Source organism: Homo sapiens, chromosome 3, assembly GCF_000001405.40.
Source record: "Homo sapiens chromosome 3, GRCh38.p14 Primary Assembly".
NCBI classification, from domain to species: domain Eukaryota; kingdom Metazoa; phylum Chordata; class Mammalia; order Primates; family Hominidae; genus Homo; species Homo sapiens.
In genome coordinates this window covers 28,284,863-28,305,960 of record NC_000003.12, presented here as the reverse complement: position 1 = coordinate 28,305,960, position 21,098 = coordinate 28,284,863, and the positions used below count along the sequence as shown (strand labels likewise).

The following is a 21,098-nucleotide window of genomic DNA, read 5'->3' as shown; positions in this document are numbered from 1 at the left end:
AAACACTGGGGAGAGGATACTTTATTCAATAAATGGTGCTGGGGAAACTGGCTAGCCATGTGCAAAAGAATGAAACTCCATCTCTACCTCTCACCATATACAAAAATTAACTCAAGATCGCTGAAAGACTTAAACGTAAGACCTCAAACTAAAAAAAAAAAAAAAAAAAAAAAAAAAAAAATTCCTATGAAAAACTCTTCTGGACACTGGCCTAGGCAAAAAATTTATGACTAAGATCTCAAAAGCAAATGAAACAAAAAGAAGATTGACAATTGGGACCTAATTAAACTAAAGAGCTTCTGCCCTGCAAAAGAAACCATCAACAGGGTAAACAGACAACCTAGAGAAAAGGAGAAAATACTTGCAAACTATGCATCCAACAAAGGACTAAGAGATGTTGTTGAGGATGTGGAGAAAGGGAATGCTTATAAACAGAATGTAAATTAGTTCAATCCCTGTGGAAAGCAGTTTGGAGATTTCTAAAAGAACTAAAAACAGAACTGGATAATCCCACTACTGGATAGCTGCCCAAAGGAAAAGAAATAATTCTACCAAAAAGACACTTGCCCTTGTATGTTTATTGCGGCACTACTCACAACAGCAAAGTTATGGAATCAACCTAAGTGTCCATCAACAGTGGAATGGAGAAAGAAAATGTGGTACATATATATCATAGAATACTACACAGCCATAAAAACGAAAACACATCCTTTGCAGCAACATAGATTTAGCTGGAGGCCATTATCCTAAGTGGATTAACAGAGAAATAGACAAATACCGCATGTTGTCACTTACAAGTAGGAGCTAAACAATGGGTATGCAGGGACAAAAAGATATAAATTATAGATACTGGGGAGTCCAAAATGGGAGGGAAGGAGGAAGGACAACGGCTGAAAAACTACCTATTGGTTACTATGATCACTGTTTGGGTGACGGTTCAATAGACGCCCAAACCACTGCATTATACAATATACTCATGTAACAAACCTGCACATGTACCCCTCAAATCTAAAGTAAAAAGAAAATACATTTTAAAGATTAATGGTAAACTAGAACCTATTAGAGCTATATGGAGTCAGAATCTTTAAAATAGATTATGTTCCAGGTTCATGATAAGCAGTTAGTGGCAATCAAAGGACATAAACCATTCCAAGTTATAAAACTTTCAGAACAAGTAAAATAGGGAATAAAAATTGGGGCTTGCTATGTTTAAATTCTTATTATACTTTCTAAAGTCATTGTCTTCATTCTTCTATAAATTATTTGAATACAACTTTAAAATATAAAAACTAACAAAATGTATCCATCAGATGACTATCTTTTCTGGGAAAGTTTGGGTCAAGGAAGGAATAATCATTATTGTCAAATGCTGTTGAGACGTCTACTAAGATGAGTGAAAATCACCCAACAGTTTTTATGTTAAAATTTTAAGCGATACTGTCCAGAAATACCTTAGATTCACATAATTCCAGTGAGGGGATTAGAACAGATAAAAATCCTTACTTCTTATGTGTGATGCATTAAACATAGCTTTTATTTTCAATTCTCTAGGACAGTTAGTTCCTTATATCCATATTCACAGGTTTCAGGGATTATGACTGAGACATCTTTGGGGACTATTATTCTACCTAACATAGGCAGAAAATGAAAAAAAAAATCCAGTGACAAAAGGAATATAAAATATCTCATTAAAAATTTTTATATTGGCTGCATGTTAAAAAGATATTATTTTTGATATATTAGGTTAAATAAGATGTATTTTTTTAAGAGACAGGGTCTCACTATGTTGCCCAAGCTGAATGTGGCTAATGCGACTGCATAACTAAATTTTTCATTTTAATTAAAATAGCCATGTATGTCTAATGGTGACCATGTTGGACAACATAGCTAAAGACATTTTTAGTTCCTTATACTTCAGGTGAGATGCAAACAGGTGGCTGATGATGATTTGGCTACTGTTTTATGATTTATAACTTATGATCATTCTAGGCTTAGTTATCTTCCATATCTTTCCTTGGAACATATTTTCTTATCCACTGATCCTTTTTAAGCCTATTAAAATACCTAATCAAAATAAAATATTTAAGAAAATAAAGACTAAGGTAAAAAATAATCATTCAGCAAAGCTTACTTGCTTAGCTTATATTTGTTCAATAAATATTTGTGCATTTGTATATAAATGAATAACTGTAAATATTCATATATATTTATCGAACAAATAGCTGAATAAGTGAATTAATTGAAGGAGTGTTAATAATTCTCATTTTCTACCAGCTTTTAGTTGATTTAACTCACTCTAATATTTTAAAATATGTTGCTAAATAATCTCTGCCATTACTGTTATCTAACTTCTTTGACAAAGATCAAAATTTCCAACATTGTACTTTATCATGACTATCTCTTCAGTTTAGTAAAGGCTGTACTCAGCATTTATTCATAAACAAAATTCAAAAAAACAGTAACAAAACTTCGGGGTTTCATAGCAAAATTAAAAAGTTTCAGGAGGATACTGAGATTCATTATCTCAGTTGATTAGAATATAAGTTTGAGATTAAAATGTGATTCTTACAAGAAGCAGTTAAAACACTAGGAACATACATGATGGAAAACCAAAATTCAAGAATACATTAATAATGTTGAATAGAAACTGTCTTATTTCAGGTGGCCTTTTTCTTGTTTTTCCATTTTCCCATGACAACTTCCTAATCATTTTTTGCAAGGTAGTTAATAATGTCAGTAGTAATAGCAATAAAAACATGAAAATGGCAACTAAGATAAACTGAGTGTTTACTCTGTACCAGGCACTACTATACTAGGTACTTTATGCGTGTTAGCTCACTTGAATTGTACAAAAACACGATCAAGTAAGCACTATTTTTATCTTCATTTGCCAGATGAATAAAATGAACTTTAAATAGGCTACATCATATTTCCAAGATTAGTGTGGCATACATAGATTGGTTTAGAACCAGGTCTTTTAACTTCAGAAACGTTATCTGTAATTACTATTGGATCTCACTTATTCCTTTCCAGAACACATGAAAAACTCCTACGCTTGGCAGAAATTTCCATGCCCACGCAATAGAGACTTAACCCAGGCCAGGTATCTCACACATGAGGTCACAAATGAGACCTGGGAAGCAAGTGGCAATGGTTCATCACATTGTATCACTACCACAGGAAAGAATAAGGTAGACACTGTTGCTGGTTTTTTGCTAAATGACCACTTAGCAACCATATAAAATCAAATAGCATCAGATACCTCAACTCTCCGATTCCATACTGTTTTCCAGTATTCCTATAAAATATATTTAAATATTTAAAATAAGGATTTTACACATTAGAAAGGGGCTTCTTCAAACAAAATATAATGAAGTGCTAAATTTCATGTTTCAGATATTAAGTGCTACCAGAATTTGAAAGAGAGACATTCACACAGCCTGGTGTGGACAATGAAAGCACCAAATCCCTCTATCTTTTTTAAAAGATCACATAGAAGATTCCCTAAGTCTCCCCAAACACACTTTTCTTACATATTCCCTCTTTGCTGTCCCACATAGTCTCCAATGTTAAAAGGCCAATTCATTGATAGGTATTGATAAAAGCAACTGACAAAAAACAAAACAAAACAAAACAGGCAAACTTTTGAACATGGAGCCTTCTAGGATTTCTTGCCACTAGTAGATGCTTTGCCTTCTCTCATCACTTACACAATGGAGAAACGAAAGTAGGATCCGTGTTTTTAGTGACACAAGTAATAAACGAACCTGTTGGACTTTTTCATACTTGCAAGTGGTCTACAGCCCATTCTGGCAATAAGTATGAGCCAACAGTGACCATTAAATACTACTTATCGAGGGCCCTGGACAGGACCAGCTGTCTTGTTCTAGACTTCTGGAATCAAAAAGGTTAGAGTGTGAAGGCCTTTAGAGGTCACTTAATCTATTTCACAAAGTGTTTCCTACTCCATCTTACTGTTTAAACATTTGTGGTGACAGAAAATTCCTTAACTCGCAAGGTAGCCAGTTCCATAGTGTGTGTGTGTTGATGGGGGTTGGTGTGTGTTGATGGGGGATGGGAGTACTATAGGCTGAAAAAAGGTAGTCTAATGCTGCCGTTTCATCATACACTATAGGAAATAACATTCATATTTTTTTCTCTTCTCCTGGCTCAGCGCCAGTTTAAACATTGCTGCCTCCTCAAGGTATGTGATTTCCAGACTATTAACAAATCCTTGTCACCCACTTTATAGTACGCTCATTTGTCAAATTTATTTATTTAACAACTGGCTTAAAAAACATTAGCATCTCCTATTTTTTTAAAAAAAAAAAACAGCATCCATAAGGACAGTAAATTCTCCAAATTCGATCGCAGTAGAATTTTTCATGCAATTCAGATATAGACTACATATATGTCTTTCTTAACAAAAATAAATCAGTAAGCCGAGTGCAGTGGCTCACGCCTGTAATCCCAACACTTTGGGAGGCTGAGGCAGGAGGATCGCTTGAATCCAGGAATTCAAGGCCAGCCTCAGGAATATAGTGAGGCCCCGCCCCTACAAATAATTTTAAAAATTAGTTGGGTATGGTGGCACACGCATGTAGTACTGTTTACTTGGGAGGCTGAGGTGGGAGGATCGCTTGAGCCCAGAAGGTCAAGGCTGCAGTGAGCTGTGATCATGCCACTGCACTCCAGCCTAGGTAACAGAGCATGGCCTTGTCTCCAAAATAGTAAATAAATAGGTTCCCATCTGTAAGGAATCATGAAAAGAATAACATATTATTAGCCATTCCTCATCTTGTCTTCTCTCACCTGAAGCAAAAAGTATTTTTATATGAATGTGGCTTTTGGTGATGTCATCAAATCTATCACAGTAACATCAACTGCTTAAATGTTAACACTGTATCACGAAATACTATGTAGCCACTAAAAAAAATAGCACACTGATAGGGAATGACCCCTAAGACTTAAAAGTGAAAACAGCAAGGTACAGAACGTTATCATTTCTGTGTTTGGGGGGTGTGCATGTGTACACGTCGGGGGGGTATGTCTGCAAGTACATAATGGCTATGAAAGAATATGTAAGAAAACTGATAACTGTGGTTATTTCATAGGAGGAAAACTGGCAGGGACAAGAATTGAAAAAAACACATTTGTATTGTGGTTTGGTACTCTCTACATCTTACAGAATATTATGAAAAAAAAAGGAAGGAAGGAAGGAAGGCAGGGAGAGAGGGAGGAAGGAGGGAGGGTGAGAGGGAGGGAAAGGGAGGGAAAGGGAGGGAAAGGGAGGGAAAGGGAGGGAAAGGGATGGAGGGAGGGAAAGGGATGGAGGGAGGGAGGGAGGGAGGAAGGAAGGAAGGAAGAGAGATAGAAATCATTTTGGGTGCTGGAGAGGGGAGAGTGGGGTCTATATAAGAGAAGCCTCGGCTTTGAAGAGCAGAGTGAAAAAGCCAGCTCCCTCTCTCTCATTTTTTCCTAAGCAGGCCATTCTGCCCTAAATTGCTGTTTAGTAACAACTAGGTGGGGAACCCTACTGTATCTCGTGAGAATTCCCTGTTCATCGCACTCTAGGAATGTTTCTGCAATTATGGCTTAATTTTATTAAATGCTAATTGTTCTCGAATATAAATTTGGATATTCCTTTTCACAAAATATACAGCTACATAGATTCGAATATTCCCATTATAGCAATACCAAGCAAAAAACAGTATTCCAGTGTAAAACGACACTATCAAAAGTCACACTACTGGCTTTCTTTTAATTTAACACTGTCACACCAACTGCCAAAATCGAAGAAATCTGACAATGATAACGTGATACTTTGCTAATAAATAAGTCCAAATTTTCAGTTTTAAGGGAAAAAAAGGAGGAAATAACAGACATGTTATACTAAATTTAATTAGACACTTAATAAGTATAGTATCCATAGTTAACAAGGCAAATCGATGCTTTCAGTTCTAGCTGCAGTTTATTTAAAGAATTTACAATTTTACTACTTAAGAGCAAGTCCCATGGAGGTGTTATCTCACCATTTATATTTTCACAACACTTATGATATTGCTGTCACACTCTTAAAATAAATGAAAAGCCCATGCCACATTTCAGACCACTATAATGTTACAGACTCTATTTTTATTTCTGAAGATAAACATTAAAATACTTCTGAATTGCTCACTTTCTTCTTGCAATGTTGAACATAAAAAAAAGTAAACTAAGAGTTTTTTTTAATGTCCCAGGTATACTTGAAAAGCAGAGGTTTAATCACTTGGTTTTAAAATTAGTAACTAGAAAATATATCATTATAAAATTGTGACAGCAGCATCTTATGACAAAATTATTATGCTTTTAATTTTCTATTAACTTGTGATTTATTAGCTTGCTACTTTAAAGATTAGTCTGTGTATAGAATGAATTTAGTGGTGCATTTAATGAGACAAGAAGGTAGAAGGATGAACATGAAAAGATTATTTTACATTGTAGTGCATGAGCTATTTGATAATTCTAACACAGTACAAAAGAAAGCTTCTCTCTAGATGGATCATGGTTCAGTTAACATCACTGAATATCTAATACCTCCAACTCAATTAATTCTCACCTGATTAAGATCAGGCTGATATTCAAACTAAATCATCTCTCCAGTCAAGTAGAAATCAGTATTTCTGATTTTACTTTTAAATTACAATAGAAAATAAAATGCATGCATCTTCAATATGCCACGAGTAGATTTTCTATTCTACTCTACCATAGCATGGATAACACAGTTGATTAAAGAATTATTCTATTTTGAGCACCAATATGTGGCAGAATCTGATTAATTTGAACACAGAGATGGAGTAAAGTAATTAAATATATCTTACACAGGGCAAATAGAAAATTGACATAAAATAAACTTGACTTGTTTAAAACAACCTCACTATTTATCAGCTCAAGTAGTTAGGAATACAGTTTTATTAGAGACTGATTATGCTCAGAGAAGAGGCTTGTTTCAGGCACAGATATTTGTAAGGTAGGTAAAGAAACAGCTCCTTTTACATCATACTCTTTCCACCACCACTGCCTCCAAAAAGCATGCAGGTGCTTAAAAACAACCAAATTATTTCTACAGACTTTCCCAGAAAAAAAACAGAACATACTGACCCATCTTTGTTGAGCAGGGAAATTAGTGAATCCAAGAATAAAATGCTTACATATTTGCAACTGTTACTACTAAACAGAACATGAAATAGATGTTCCTCCTCTTTTATTTCTTAATTCTCTTCAAATTTAAGATAAAGAAGAGTAAATTATTTGTTGGATTAATCAAATAGAAATGATTTTTGGCTTGTTAGCAAACTCAAAAATTCAGATGAAAATGTTCAAATTTTAAAAAATAAATTTAAGAGAGCAGAACCACAGATAAATGTACACTTTATTAGAAATAAAAATAATTTAGAGAATACTTAGTATGTACTAACATTGCATACTATATTTTATATATGTAATATGTATACTTTATATATAAAAATATATTTTATATAGAATATTATATATAAAATATAATTTACTATTTCTAAACCTCACAAACTAGGTTATTAACCATGTACTAAATATTCATCAGTGTTACTTACCTCGGATGTGCTTTTCCTAGTGTCTTAGGTATATATCCCTTCACAGAAAAAGTATGAGGACGCAAGAATTAAGCAAAGTAATCTGGAAGCATAGATTTCCAAAATTCATATCCAATGAGCCATATGAGTTACCTACAGATTATAATTAAGGGCATAAAAATCAAAACTTGACAGATCTGATACTCTCCAAGACTTGTAGAGTAGGACTCTACTCTACAGGTAGAGTCCTGTAGACTCAGGCTGGGCTACCTATGCAACTTGGAAGCTGAGCCATTTGCATGTTAAACACAAAAGAATATTCTTTACCTTCACAAAAGGCTCCATCCTGTTTTTCTTGAACCAGACCAACATCTCAGTTTGGTTTTCTTATGACTGGAGCACAGTTTCAGAGAAATATGTTTTTGCATATAAATGTATCTATCTTTATATATATTATATACATATAAATACATAATGTGTGTGTATACAAATACATGAACAGTGCAAGCACAAAAACTGTAATGAACCACTACAACACATGTCCATGTTTAAAGGTACAGCTGTTACTTTATTCCAGATCATTGTTCGTCTTGTAGGACTGGAAATACAGAATCATCAGATCTGAGGATTTACCTTTTTTCTAAGCTGGAATTTTTGTTTTATGTAAAATCTCACAATTGTAAATAGCCAACTTTGTTTTCTAAAACACTGCAGAGGAAAAACAAAACATGTCTGCGTAATGGCTCCCAGCTGAAGGCTGATGGTCTGTGTCATCTGCTGGAAAAGCTTTCTTAAACATTTCAGCTCTAAAATAATTATACACTTGTGGTTATTCCAATTAAAACTGCTGTCACCCACTCAACAACTATTAAAGCAGAGGTCTCCATAATTATATTCTAAATAGCATTGTAGAACCTAGGACAGAGGAATTAAATGGAGACTTTTCCCATCTCTAATTCCATAGGCCTCATTCTCTTCCATGGTCCTATGAGGCTGCCACAGTAATGGTGGCTATAGTACATTTCAACAGGGATTCAGATGGGCCCTTACCTAAAAGTTTACATTTTCTTTAAGCCCACACTGATTGTCTTATGGATCAGTTACTAAACCTCTCTAAATATATGCTCCAAGAAGCACTTTAGGTAAGAATGTTTCATTTGAATGGATGCTACTTTATAAAGGGGTTTTCTCCCCTCCTCTCTTAACTTACCAAATATGTATTCAGCTATCAAATAGTTTGTCTGTTGCCCTCAGGAAGTCTCCAATGGAGCAGCAAGGCAGTGACACATTTAAAATTAAACAAAGAAACAAATAAATAAAACAGCAATTCTGGAAAGATGGCAAGAAATATCACACAGCAGTAAAGACTGATAGCCCAAAGAGGCCACATAAATAACTAATAAGAGTTTGAAGGTGGAAGGGCTCACCACAGGCTACTAGAAAGGCAGCACAAAATTCAAGGAGGTATTCCCATATTTGCAAAAATAGATGGAAGAGTGCCAAGAAATGTAAAACAACAAACCTTACTTTTTTTCCCTATTACTCTATTAAACAATTGGTGAATACAATGAAATAATTATTTAAAGTATTTCTAATAAGTTTACATTGTTAGAATTCAATATATGTTAAATAAGTCATAATCATAGCAGTTCATCTTAGAAGCTACTTAGAAGACATTTTTAAATAAGAATTTACTTGTGTTCTACATTTTATTAGTTTAACATTTATTAAAATAATAAAAATAATAAGACACAGCTCATCTCAGGATCTGGAAATCCTGTTATGAAAACAAAAGAAAGTAAAGAAAGTGGCTGTCACAGTCTTATTTGTTAAATTCCACAAAGAATATTTTTAATTTTAAAACAGAATGTCAACAGGGTTGACTGAAATAAAGAGAAATAAATTAATGCTAAATAATTACTAAGGAAGTTTTATTTATGGAAATGAATAATTCAGTGTTTTAGAAAGTAAATTCAAGCAGCAGCTGCTTTGCTGACATTAAGCTAAAAAGAGCTTCCTCAAAAATGTATAAACTTTAAAACTAAAGAATCATATTTTTTTAATGTCAAACAGGAAGTTATTTCCTAAGTCATCTGGTTTTAGTATAAAATATTACATGGTTACAATGGTGATCAACAAACCATTTAAGGAGTCTCAGCATTACATTTTTTCATAGGAAGTATCTGTCACATTCTAGTTTACTGAATATATGCATAATTCCTGGCCTGTTTAGTCTTACAACAGCTGGGGGAAGAGAGTAATTCAGATTTCTAACAATCTGTTCATATGTATGTGTACTCAGGGTTGTATTTTAAACTGTATTTCTTACTATGGACCAGGTGAAAAGAAACTGAAAGTAACTGGTTTAGGGCATGAAAATTCTTATTCTATATAATAGGAGAAATATAACCCAGATGATACAGTTGACCCTTGAACAACATGGGTTTGAGTTGCACAGGTCCACTTATACATGGGTTTTTCCCCCCCAATAAATACCATTCCTTATCTGTGGGTTCCATATCCACAGCCAAACACAGATAAAAAATACAGTATTCATGGGATTTAGGTTTTGGCTTCCTGGAGAAGGACGGGCATCCTGTAACTAATCCCCTGTGGATACCGAGGGAAACTGTATATTCTTAATTCATTCTTTTGTTAAATATTTACTGAACATTTCTATGTACCAAGCCTGTTTTAGGTTCTAGGGATATATGAGTAAAACAAACCAGGATCTCTTATTCTAAAAGGAGTATTGAGCAGTATGTTACAATGTGGTAAGAGTTACAGAAAAAGAGAGAGAAGTTAAGGGGTGTAGGAAGTTATAGGAGGAAGGACCTAGTAGGTTACATTTTCAGTAGGGTCATCCAGGTAGGCCCCTCTAAGGAGATTTTTGGGGAAAAACTTAAAGGAAGTAAATAAATCAGTAACATAGTTTTTATAGCCAGTGATGTGATACCGATACTGAAGTTTCTAATTCTATACAAGACATATTTTTTAAATATTTTCAAGGAAAATGGGCATGAAGAAAAAAATAACTGTAGATAAGAATAAATTTTCATACGAATTCCTAAACACAACATGGGTAAGGTAGCCTAGTCTAAAGAGAAGGCATAGCTACTAACGCTAATGTAAAAGTACCTAAGTTACTCTTGTGGGAATCAGACAGGGCTTAATTTCACAATGTCACTAAAATGAAAGTAAAGGCTAAGGAGACAAAAGACATACATTAAAAATGGCTTACACACTTAAGAGTAAAAACGAGCTCACGTTAAAATGAGTCTGTTAGAAAAACATTATTCACTAAAGGTATTTCTGGGGTAGCACAGCGTGAACACTGCATTCTTTGCTCCTTCCTGTCTACAGATTGTTTTGTTTTGTTTTAAAAAAAATAACAATAATGATCAGCACTGTAAACTAAGCATCTCTGTAACTTCTCTATGGGTAACAAAGAAAGAAGGGTTCAGTTAATACCCAAAGCCTGAGTTCTAATATAACTAGTTCTGAGTAATAGGCAACCCGAATCCTGTCTGATGTTTTAGAATGACAAATCTAGAAGGAGTCATATCAAAATGCACTAAGAACCTAAGTCTTCTATTTTACCCAACTCAATGAACACAAACAAATTTCCTAAAGCGAAAATGGAAAAAATAAAGAACCACAAGTTAAAAAGATTTTTTTAATTCATAAAAATGACTGAAATACAGCAAATTTAGGATTTCTGGTATTATTACTTTATGTTGACTTTAACTTGCCTACATGAGTTTCCATTAGCTTTTTAACTCATGACTAAAGCATTTTATTTTTATGTAATATAAGCAAATTAATAAACTTCTGGTACTCACTACTATTTATGTAGCTATATAAGTTCGTCCACTTAGTTTGGAAAATTCTCCCAAATCCATCTAACATCTGCAATGTTTCACAAAAATTTACTTGTCCTGTATTGTAAAAGAGAAAAATTTATTTCACATGACAAAAAGGAAATACTACCCCCAAATTTTGCTACTTAACAATAATACAATTCGCAACTTTAGAAGCCTATTCCGTAAGAAAATAAAGCAATTATAAAAAATTTTTTCATATCAAGGGGGGGTAAATTTTGTATACATAACCACTGAGTAAGGTTCTCCTGACTGCAATTCATTTATGTAATTTTTTTGACAGAGCTCACTTACATTATTGCTCCACAGTTATGTATCATTAATAGGCATACATGAAGTTATAGTAGAACAGATGATCCTGTTACAGCACTTTCTACATAACCAGACATTAATATGTTAAAGGCCATTTTACAAAAATCACTGCCTTCATATTTACTCTAACCAATTAAAATGAGTTCTTCGAAAATAGCAATTATTCTCTTCTTTTATTTGAAATCCATATAGTTCAAATTTAATGCTATATGTAAAATATAAAAGGTCTTAGGAAGACAGTTAACAAAGATTTTACAGAACTACACAGGTTTTCAAGTTAAAAAAAAGAATACTTTTAGCCAGGCATGGTGTCTCATGCCTGTAATCCCAACATTTTGGGAGGCTGAGGCAGTCGGATCGCTTGAGCTCAGGAGTCTGAGACCAGCCTGGCCAACATGGTGAAACTCGGTCTCTACTAAAAATACAAAAATTCGCCAGGCATGGTGGTGGATATCTGTAATCCCAGCTACTTAGGAGGCTGAGGCAGAAAAACCACTTGAATCCAGGAGGCAGAGGCTGCAGTGAGCCGAGAGCACACTACTGCACCCCAGGATAGGTGACAGAGCAAGACTCCATCTCAAAAAAAGAAAGAATATTTTTAAAAGACTGTGTGTTTTGTTTTAAAATCTAGAACATAAGCCTCAAAAGCAAATTTTCGTTAAAGATGAGTATCTTCTTGATATCTTACAACCATCTACCTCAAACTTAATGTGTCCTGGTTCACTGTTTCTTACAAATCATTTGAAATCAAACTCCTGGCATCATCATGCTTCTCTTCAGTGGTTTTCTCTTCAATTACCAAGTTCTGCCAAAGTTCCCTTTGATGCTTCCCATTCTGTCACCTCCCCAGCCACTCGAAAAAAAAAAAAAAGTCCCTCTATTTGTAGCTTAATCAAATGGAAAGCTTCTCTTTTCTCTAATATCAACTCCTCCATCCAGCTTGAGCCCATACACAGAACAACCACAGTCTTTAATCTCTCATGTCACCCAGGCAGACACGGGGAAGAAAACAGAACTATATGAAATTAAAAGGATGCAAAGTAATAGAACTACTGCACTTAACGTTCCCACAAAATTACTATTTAGAGATGTATAGGAAATCATTAAAGGTATGTTTAGCATATATAGATACAAGAGAGAACTGATTGGAGATTCAAAATACTCTCAATAGTATGGACAACCAGAGCAAAAAAATGTTTAAAGGTAAAATTTACCTGGATACATGCGAATTCCTACATTTAAGTTAAAAATACTTTCACATTTTAGAATAGAATGACGTTTGATAAATTCAATGTGAATCAACAATTTGATGAAGTACAACAGAACAACTAAACCAATCTTAATTATCAGTGTCGCAATCACAACTGCAAGGAGCTCACAGCACATCTATGTTCATTTCTGGAGACCACATTTTTAGACGAATCTTGACAAATAAGTACATTCCTACAGAAAGGCAATAAAGAGATTAAGGGGTCTTTTTAAAAACCATAATGTATACAAACATCCTATTATATACTAACCACATCTTAGAAATCTACCTAAGGCATCTATGGGAAAATAGAAAATATTTAAATTTATCCAGAAAAGAAAATTCAAGAAAGGGAATGAGACTATCATCACTAAAGTAAGCTGAAGTAAAAACCCAGGTGACCTTAAATATAAGAGCTTAGGCTTGATCATAAGCAGTGGGGAATGACATGAACTAAAATGATCAATTGAAAAAGCTTTACCTAGCAACAACGTTTAGGATAAGGGTAAAATCAGGGAAGAAGGAGAAAAAGAAATTTTCTAGATAGAAAAAACTAGTCTTCATGCTAATAAAATAATTGAAAAGATATTGAAGACAGTTTTGGGTAAAACTGCAAGATATTGTAAGCTCTTAAACTCTTCCTCAATATTCTATAAGATAAACAGAGTTTTAAAAAGACAAAAATTGGCTAGCTGCCCCTATGCCATAAAAGGGTGATAGTATTATACTATAAATTTCAAAAAGTAGGAAAAAAGGAAAGATTTTGGCAAGGCTCAACATGCCATGGATCCTAGCTCCTAGAATGCACTGGGGAAAGAAAATGAATTAAAATACCTTGCAAATTCCCGCTAAAAACACTCTTTGTTTTTGAGAGAAGTAGACTGAGGGCACAAATAGCCCACAGAAAAATAAAGCAAAAACAAAAACAAAACAAAACAAAACAAAAACACTTAGTATAAAAAAACCTTTACCCACCTTCAAAGGATTTCAGCAGGGGCTAGAAAAACCACCAGGGTATGCCATTTTTCAGGGATCCACACTTAATAGAGAAGATAACCCAAAGGTAACCCCACAGAAAAGAGGAAACATTCCTGAAGGCTACTTAACAAAAACACTGCATTGGCCATGTGCTCCCTCTCCCCCTCCCTCAGGCTTCAGGAAAGTACATAAAAGAACACCCCAGCCTTCACAATATAGCCCACAGGAGAAAACAAACATCAGAAAAAGGTGGCAGAAGTGTTAAAGAGCATTCACCCACAATTTTTCAGAGAAACAGCAAGGCAACTCTGCAAACATGCCTAAGGAAAAAGAAGATTCATCTCAAATGTCACACTCTATTAGAACTTAATAAAAACATAAATTCAAGAAAACTAGACTTCAAGGAATAGTTGATAAAACAGAGTGAGATGACAGAAGAGATAAATTGAAGACCAAAACAAATCTGTAACAGTGCTAATAAATATATTAGAAACATAAAAGAAATAGCATAGACACAGCTAAAATTCAAATGAAAAATTTTATTTAAATTACTCAAGATAATCACAGTAAATATAGAGGGGAAAAAAAGGTTAATGCAAACAGAGAAAACCAAGGCATGGTAGGCAACTATTTTGGAAGACAGCTTCCAAGATGGCCTCCAATGATCCCAGCTTCCTATTGTTCATGTCCTTCATGTCCATGTCACCCCTCCCATTAAGCAGGCTTCTAACCTAGTGATCTGCTTCTAACCAAGAGTATGGTAATGCAGACAGGATGTCACTTCTATGACTGAGTTACAAAAGACTGTGGCATGTCTTACCAGATGTTCTCTCTGGTCTTCTTGGCTTGCCTGTTTTGATGAAGTAAACTGCCATGTGGAAAAGGCTCATGTGGGAAGGAAGTAAGGCTATCAACCCAGCATCCTACAGAAGACTGAATGCTGCCAACAACCATGAGTGACCTTCAAAGCAGATGCTTCCCCAGTCAAGGTTTCAGATGAGACCACAGACCCTCCTTAGCCAACACATTAATTGCAGCCTTGTGAGAAACTGAAGCAGAAGACCCAGTTGTCATACCGAGATACCTGACTCACAGAAACTATGAGATTAATAAATATGTGCTCTTTTAAGCCACTACATTTTGGAATAATTAGTTATGCAGTAAATACCATCAAATGTTAATCCTCGTTTTAAAGTTCCAAGGATGATTGGTTATCTCTGAGGAAAAAAATTCCCCCAGAAAAAGGAAACAAAAAACATTTTCAATTATAATTTAAGAAAAGTTTTCTGATTAAAAAAAATGTACAAACCAAAAGGGCACAGTATGTTCCAGAAAGAACTGATACAAGATATATCACAGTTAAGCTTCCAAACTCAAGGATACAGAAAGAATTCTTCTAGGATCCAACCAGAAAAATCACGTCACCTATGGTAGGATGATTGCAAGGTGGGGTGGGGATGAAAATCAGGCTGCTCTCAGACTTCCCAGAGCAACATTTAATGTCATAAAATACTGATGCAATGTGTATCTACAAAGTTCTGAGGTACAGAAAATACGACCTGACAATATTATATCCACTCTACATGTCACAAATCTATTAGGCAACAAGCAGTCATTCCCAACCATGAAAGATATCAAGGATTCTAGAACCCAAAGACTCTTATTAAATTAACTATTGGCAATAAAATCAAGCAACAGATCAAAAAAAAATTTTTAAAGACAAAATGTGATGAGCACTGGATTTATGGTTACAGACAAGAATATAAGTATTATAAATTATGACAATGTAAAATTACAACTTACAGAAACTGGGACCTGAAAGAGAAAAGGTGGGGGAAGTATAACTGTACTTTCATACAAGGGAATCACTCAATACTGTTCAAAATTAGAATATGGAGTTAAAACATAATCACTCAAACTTGTCAGTGGGTTTCATATGTTTTCTTGTAATGGAGGCAAGTAACCTTTTATCAAGAAACATTTACATAAACTTTAGCAAATCTTTTGTTTTATAAATTCCACTAAAAAAGTAGTGTATATAATATAATCCCTTTGTATTATCCTTTTGTTCCCAGAGAGATGTCTGTCTTTGTGAATGGTAGAATTTAGAGTAATTTTTGGAATGCATTTTATATTTTCTACATTACTTACATAAATTGAATATCCTTTTTATTAAAAGCATGATGTTGTTTTCCCCCACAACAATAAAATGCAAAAAGGAAGTAAATACTGAAAGCCTGAAGTAGAGTAGAGGTATTGAAAATGAAGTCTCACATATTGTTAGAAAGATTCCTGCATTGGTAGTAGTTAACCTCACAGGCTTCATCTAACGTTAAGTTTCTGAGATCACAGACTTTCTCCCTAAATAAAGATCTTTGCAGCATAAAAATCCCTGTTTTCTATTATATGACTTCTAAAATTCTTTGCCTGGCTTTCAAGGAGCACCAAAATACGACCCTAAATGGCAACTAAATTGTTTTATATAATTAAACTAACCTTCTCATTGTCCTACAAATATCTCATGTTATACTCGGCTTTTATATCTTACTACCTACTTGGAATATCTTTTAATAAATAATTTAGGTGTTTCCATTTCACAGACTATTCCTTCCCCAATACTTAGTAAGATAAACAAAACGAATTTTAAAAAGAAACTATCTAAATGATACCTAGCTAAAGTTTATTTGCTACACAAAATTCTTCCTGAAATCTTAGAATTTAACTAAAAAAATTCTTTCAGAATTTTTAGAGCACTCATCGAGACTTTTCTATATTGAAACATAACTCTAAATTAATACTGCTTTGCAGACTGTATTAGTCTTAATTCAAAAACTTAAAAAAAACCTCAAAGAACATAAAATTTTAAAAATATATTTAAAGAAACTCATCAAAAAAATAAAAAGAAAATAAAAGAATGATACAAATAGACCTGATTGGAAATATGTTTTTAAACCTCTGAGATGGTCTTCCCAACCAAATATTTCATATTATATATTTTTAAAAGATAAGATTATGTATTTGTATAAAATGCTACAGTTTACAAAGTGTTTTAATAATCACTTTTTCATTTACTTGCAAAAATATTCTTACAATCATAATTATCCACAAAAGGACTGTGAGTATACTTTAAAAAATTATAAAAATAAAAATTATAAAAAATATTAGTCAGTATGAAACAATTTATCAAACTTTATAAATTTATCACACAAATGTATTCATCATAATCCTCTTTAACAACACAAAGCTACATTTGCAATGAAGCAGCTAAAGCTTTCTTTTTTGTTTTTCCTCTCAACTATGATTTAAATGTTTATATTCCTTGTTTTAATATTCCAACACACAGTCAAAATGTGGCAGTTGCAGTTGTACATTTACCTTCAATAGTAACTATAAAACCTAAAATTATTTTCAGTTGGCTCCTTTAGTAAGACCCAAAATTTCCTAAAGAAACATTTAACACTTAATGTTACATTTACGGTAATGAGAAAGAGCAAGGATAAGTCAATGTAAAAATGAATAAGCTTTAATGATATTCTTAACAGGATTTTCAGATACTTCTACCACAAGATGGAGATAAAGTAGATGTATTTACACACGTCAAAATATATAATTTTATTAAATTATTTGATATCACTTGGCTCATAATCAGAAATATATGCTACTCTTTATGATAAAGGTAAACTCACTTCACATGTGATCATTTTTAATTTAGTTATTTCCAAAATATCTTTTAATAAAATAAAGACATATAACATTTTCATGTTTCATTTTACACAGGAAACTACCAGTATTAACGTATTTTTAAAAACACGTTGAAGAAGATTCATATATCAATACCAGAGCTGTTCAATAATTTTTTTTGTAACGATGGAAATGATTGATGTCTGCATTGTCGTATGTGGTATCCACAAGCCACATGCAGCTATTGAGCATTTGAAATGTGGCTAGTACCACTACGAGACTCAATTTTAAATTTTATATAATTTTAATTAATTTAAAATTAAATAGGCAATGTGACTACTGGCTAATATACTGGACAGCACAGAGCTATATTATAGCCAATTTAATATTTTAATATACATTGAAATTCAATCATGGTTTTCAGAGTGTAAAATAACACATAAAAACTGAACTTTAAAAATAAAATTACTATAAATCAATGATAAAAACTAAAGATTCTGACCATTAATAATGGAGGTTTTTCCAAAATCATCAGGAAAAAAATAGAAAAGCTCAATATAACGGTAAAAATAAAAACCAATATATATTAAAAGGAGTAAAGTTTATAGCATCTTTCGAAGGGAATAAAAGAGCATATATTAAAACACACAAATCTTTTTAAAGTATACCAATAACCATGTGAATTTTCAAATTTAGTATAGAAATGTGCTTATTTAAAACATGTAAATATCTGCACATACAATAAACATATTTACTATTTACACAAGTCAAAGTTAACATTTTCAATAATAGGAAAAAAAAATTTGCTCCCTCTTACCAAAACAGTAGGAGTCTAACTCTGCAATTACAAAGTAGAGCACTTTGCACCAGAGAAAGATTCCAACATAAATTATGTGGACCTCAATCAATACAAAGTTGGGTATCAATTAAACTAGAGAGCCAGTAGCCATTCTGTTTCAAACTGAGAGAAATAGTCTTACTAATCCAGACAAAGATGCCAGTCAAAGGTGCTGAAACCAAAAGGAAAAGTTTCATGATGATCACATCTCATAAAACGTAGAGAGGATTCATGAAGAAGCCACTTCACTGGAGTCTGTTCTTGGATTTGGGCAGAATAAGGGAGGAAGCTGATTTAAAAGTGCTATAGAGGTGACACTGAGAAGACAAAAGAGTGTTAGGAAGAATCCGAGAATTGGTCACCAAATAATACCTGAAAATGTGTTGACGGTTGGATTATTCCAGCACAAAAGCCCTGACTTTAAAATTAAGCAAACAAAAAGGATGTTTCATTAAACTGTCTGTATATTACAAAACTGGGATATATTCTTCTCTTTTGCAATAAATAATCAAAACCAGCTTTTTAATGACCAGTCAGGCTCTAACAGAAAATGAAAAATAGGCTCCCACATTCAGCAGATCTACCCTTCCCCCAAGATCTCAGTAAATTATTTCTACATGTGCTGTGTTAAAATTGAACCCCTAGAGGGCAACTGAGCTTCAATCTTTACTTCATAATATACACTTCAGTTCCTCAGCAGTTTATAGATACCATGACCTACTTCCTTATATCTTGGAACTTTTCCTCTAATACAAAAAGGAAATGGAAAGAAGAAAATTGATATATTCCATTCACTAATGCAAAATATCATTATGTAATACATTCTTTAACAGCAATCATTCAACAATGAAGACTATGGTACAAATAGGTATATTCCTGAATAACAGACTTCATAAATGAATATGTGAATATTAACACTCTCAGTAGGAATCATGTAGCAGATAAGAAAGACATACTTAACAAGTCTATTTAATATAAACGTTTTGCATAACTTTACATTCACTAAATGACATGTTAAAACTTACAGGGAAAAAAGTGAAGAATCCAATTTCAATAACAACCCTATATAAACTATCCAGTATAAAACACTACAGGAAAAACAATGCTTCTTCAAAGTCAAAATGTCAAGAGGTTCCTTGCTGCCCGACTAAGTTAACGCTATTTCATTAGAAAGAAGTACTGATATTCAAACAGGCCCACACAAAATACTGACATAGCAAAAAAAGTTATTCTATCAATATAAAAATGTACTAGCTAGCAAGGCCAACAATGATATCTTAGATTCAGCCTTTTTTAATGAAACTCAAAAATTAGACATATACAAGTATAAAATGTATGTACCAAAAAAGGTAGCATAAAAGAAAATGCTGCCAGGTGCGGTGGCTCATGCCTGTAATCCCAGCACTTTGGGAGGCCGAGGCAGGCAGATCACGAGGTCAGGAGATCAAGGCCATTCTGGCTAACACAGTGAAACCCCGTCTCTACTAAAAATACAAAAAAATTAGCCGGGTGTGGTGGCAGGCGCGTAGTCCCAGCTACTCGGGAGGCTGAAGCAGGAGAATGGCGTGAACCCAGGAGGCAGAGCTTGCAGTGAGCCAAGATCGCGCCACTGCACTCCAGCCTGGGCGACAGAGCAAGACTCTGTCTCAAAAAAAAAAAAAAATGCTGAGAATTTACCTGGACAATATACAGAATAATAATAACTAACTGATAACTTGGTCCAAAAGTCATGGGTTTTTTTTTTTCACTTTTTATTTGTATAGATGTAGGGGGTACAAGTGCAGCTTTGTTAAATGGATATATTGTGTAGGGAGGAAGTCTGGGCTTTTAGTGTAACCATCATCTGAATACAGTACCCTGTACCCAATAGATTTCTCATCCCTTACCCACTTCCTACCCTCACATCTTTCCTGGTCTTCAATGTCTATTATTCCACTCTCTGTACCCTTATGTACACATTACTTAGCTTCCACTTATACGTGAGAACATGTGATATTTGACAGAAAGTCATGTGTTTTTTTTTTAACCCAAATAAGACTTTTACATAATCAACTCTCTTTATCTCATACTACAATATGTATTCACTAACTGGAACAAAATTATAATTCCATCCATAAACAGCTTTTGAAGGAAAATATGTATTTTGTGTCACAAGTCCTTCCTCCCCAGCAGAGAAGGTCACCAGTACCTCCTTAGCTACTGTACTCAGCAACAGAACCATCATCTTGGTAAGGACAGAGAATACACACACATGCTGGTTAAAGACTCTTTCTCCATGTCACAATCATTTTCTTCACTAAATTCATCAATTAATTATTAGCATTACATCCTAAGTACTTAGGAATCTCAATAATCACAAAGCAATTTCTGCTCATTTGGATTAGAATCCATATATGAAAACTGAAACATCAAAGAATGCACTGATGGAACACAGAGTAGGAAGAAGCTGCTAAAGAAGGTGAAGTTTGTGTGCAACAGGGTTAGTAAAGGAAGCAGCCATATAATTGACAGGATACAAAAGAGGTCAAGGTTTACGGCTGCCAGAGCATACTTTCTTATTCCCTAAGAGT

The 21,098-nt window shown here is 33.8% G+C and overlaps 1 protein-coding gene across 7 annotated transcripts in view; it reads right to left on the bottom strand.

Moving 5' to 3' along the window:
• The window catches only part of CMC1 (C-X9-C motif containing 1), an 83,524-nt gene that overhangs the window by 19,182 nt on the left and 43,244 nt on the right, over positions 1-21,098 (bottom strand). Inside the window, exon 3 of one of the 7 annotated variants that reach the window (NM_001331186.2) lies at positions 11,432-11,527. The exons of the other annotated variants lie outside the window; for them this stretch is intronic. Coding sequence (NP_001318115.1) covers positions 11,432-11,527 — 96 coding nt within the window. The remainder of the gene's footprint in view (positions 1-11,431; positions 11,528-21,098) is intronic. 7 annotated transcript variants of the gene reach the window in all.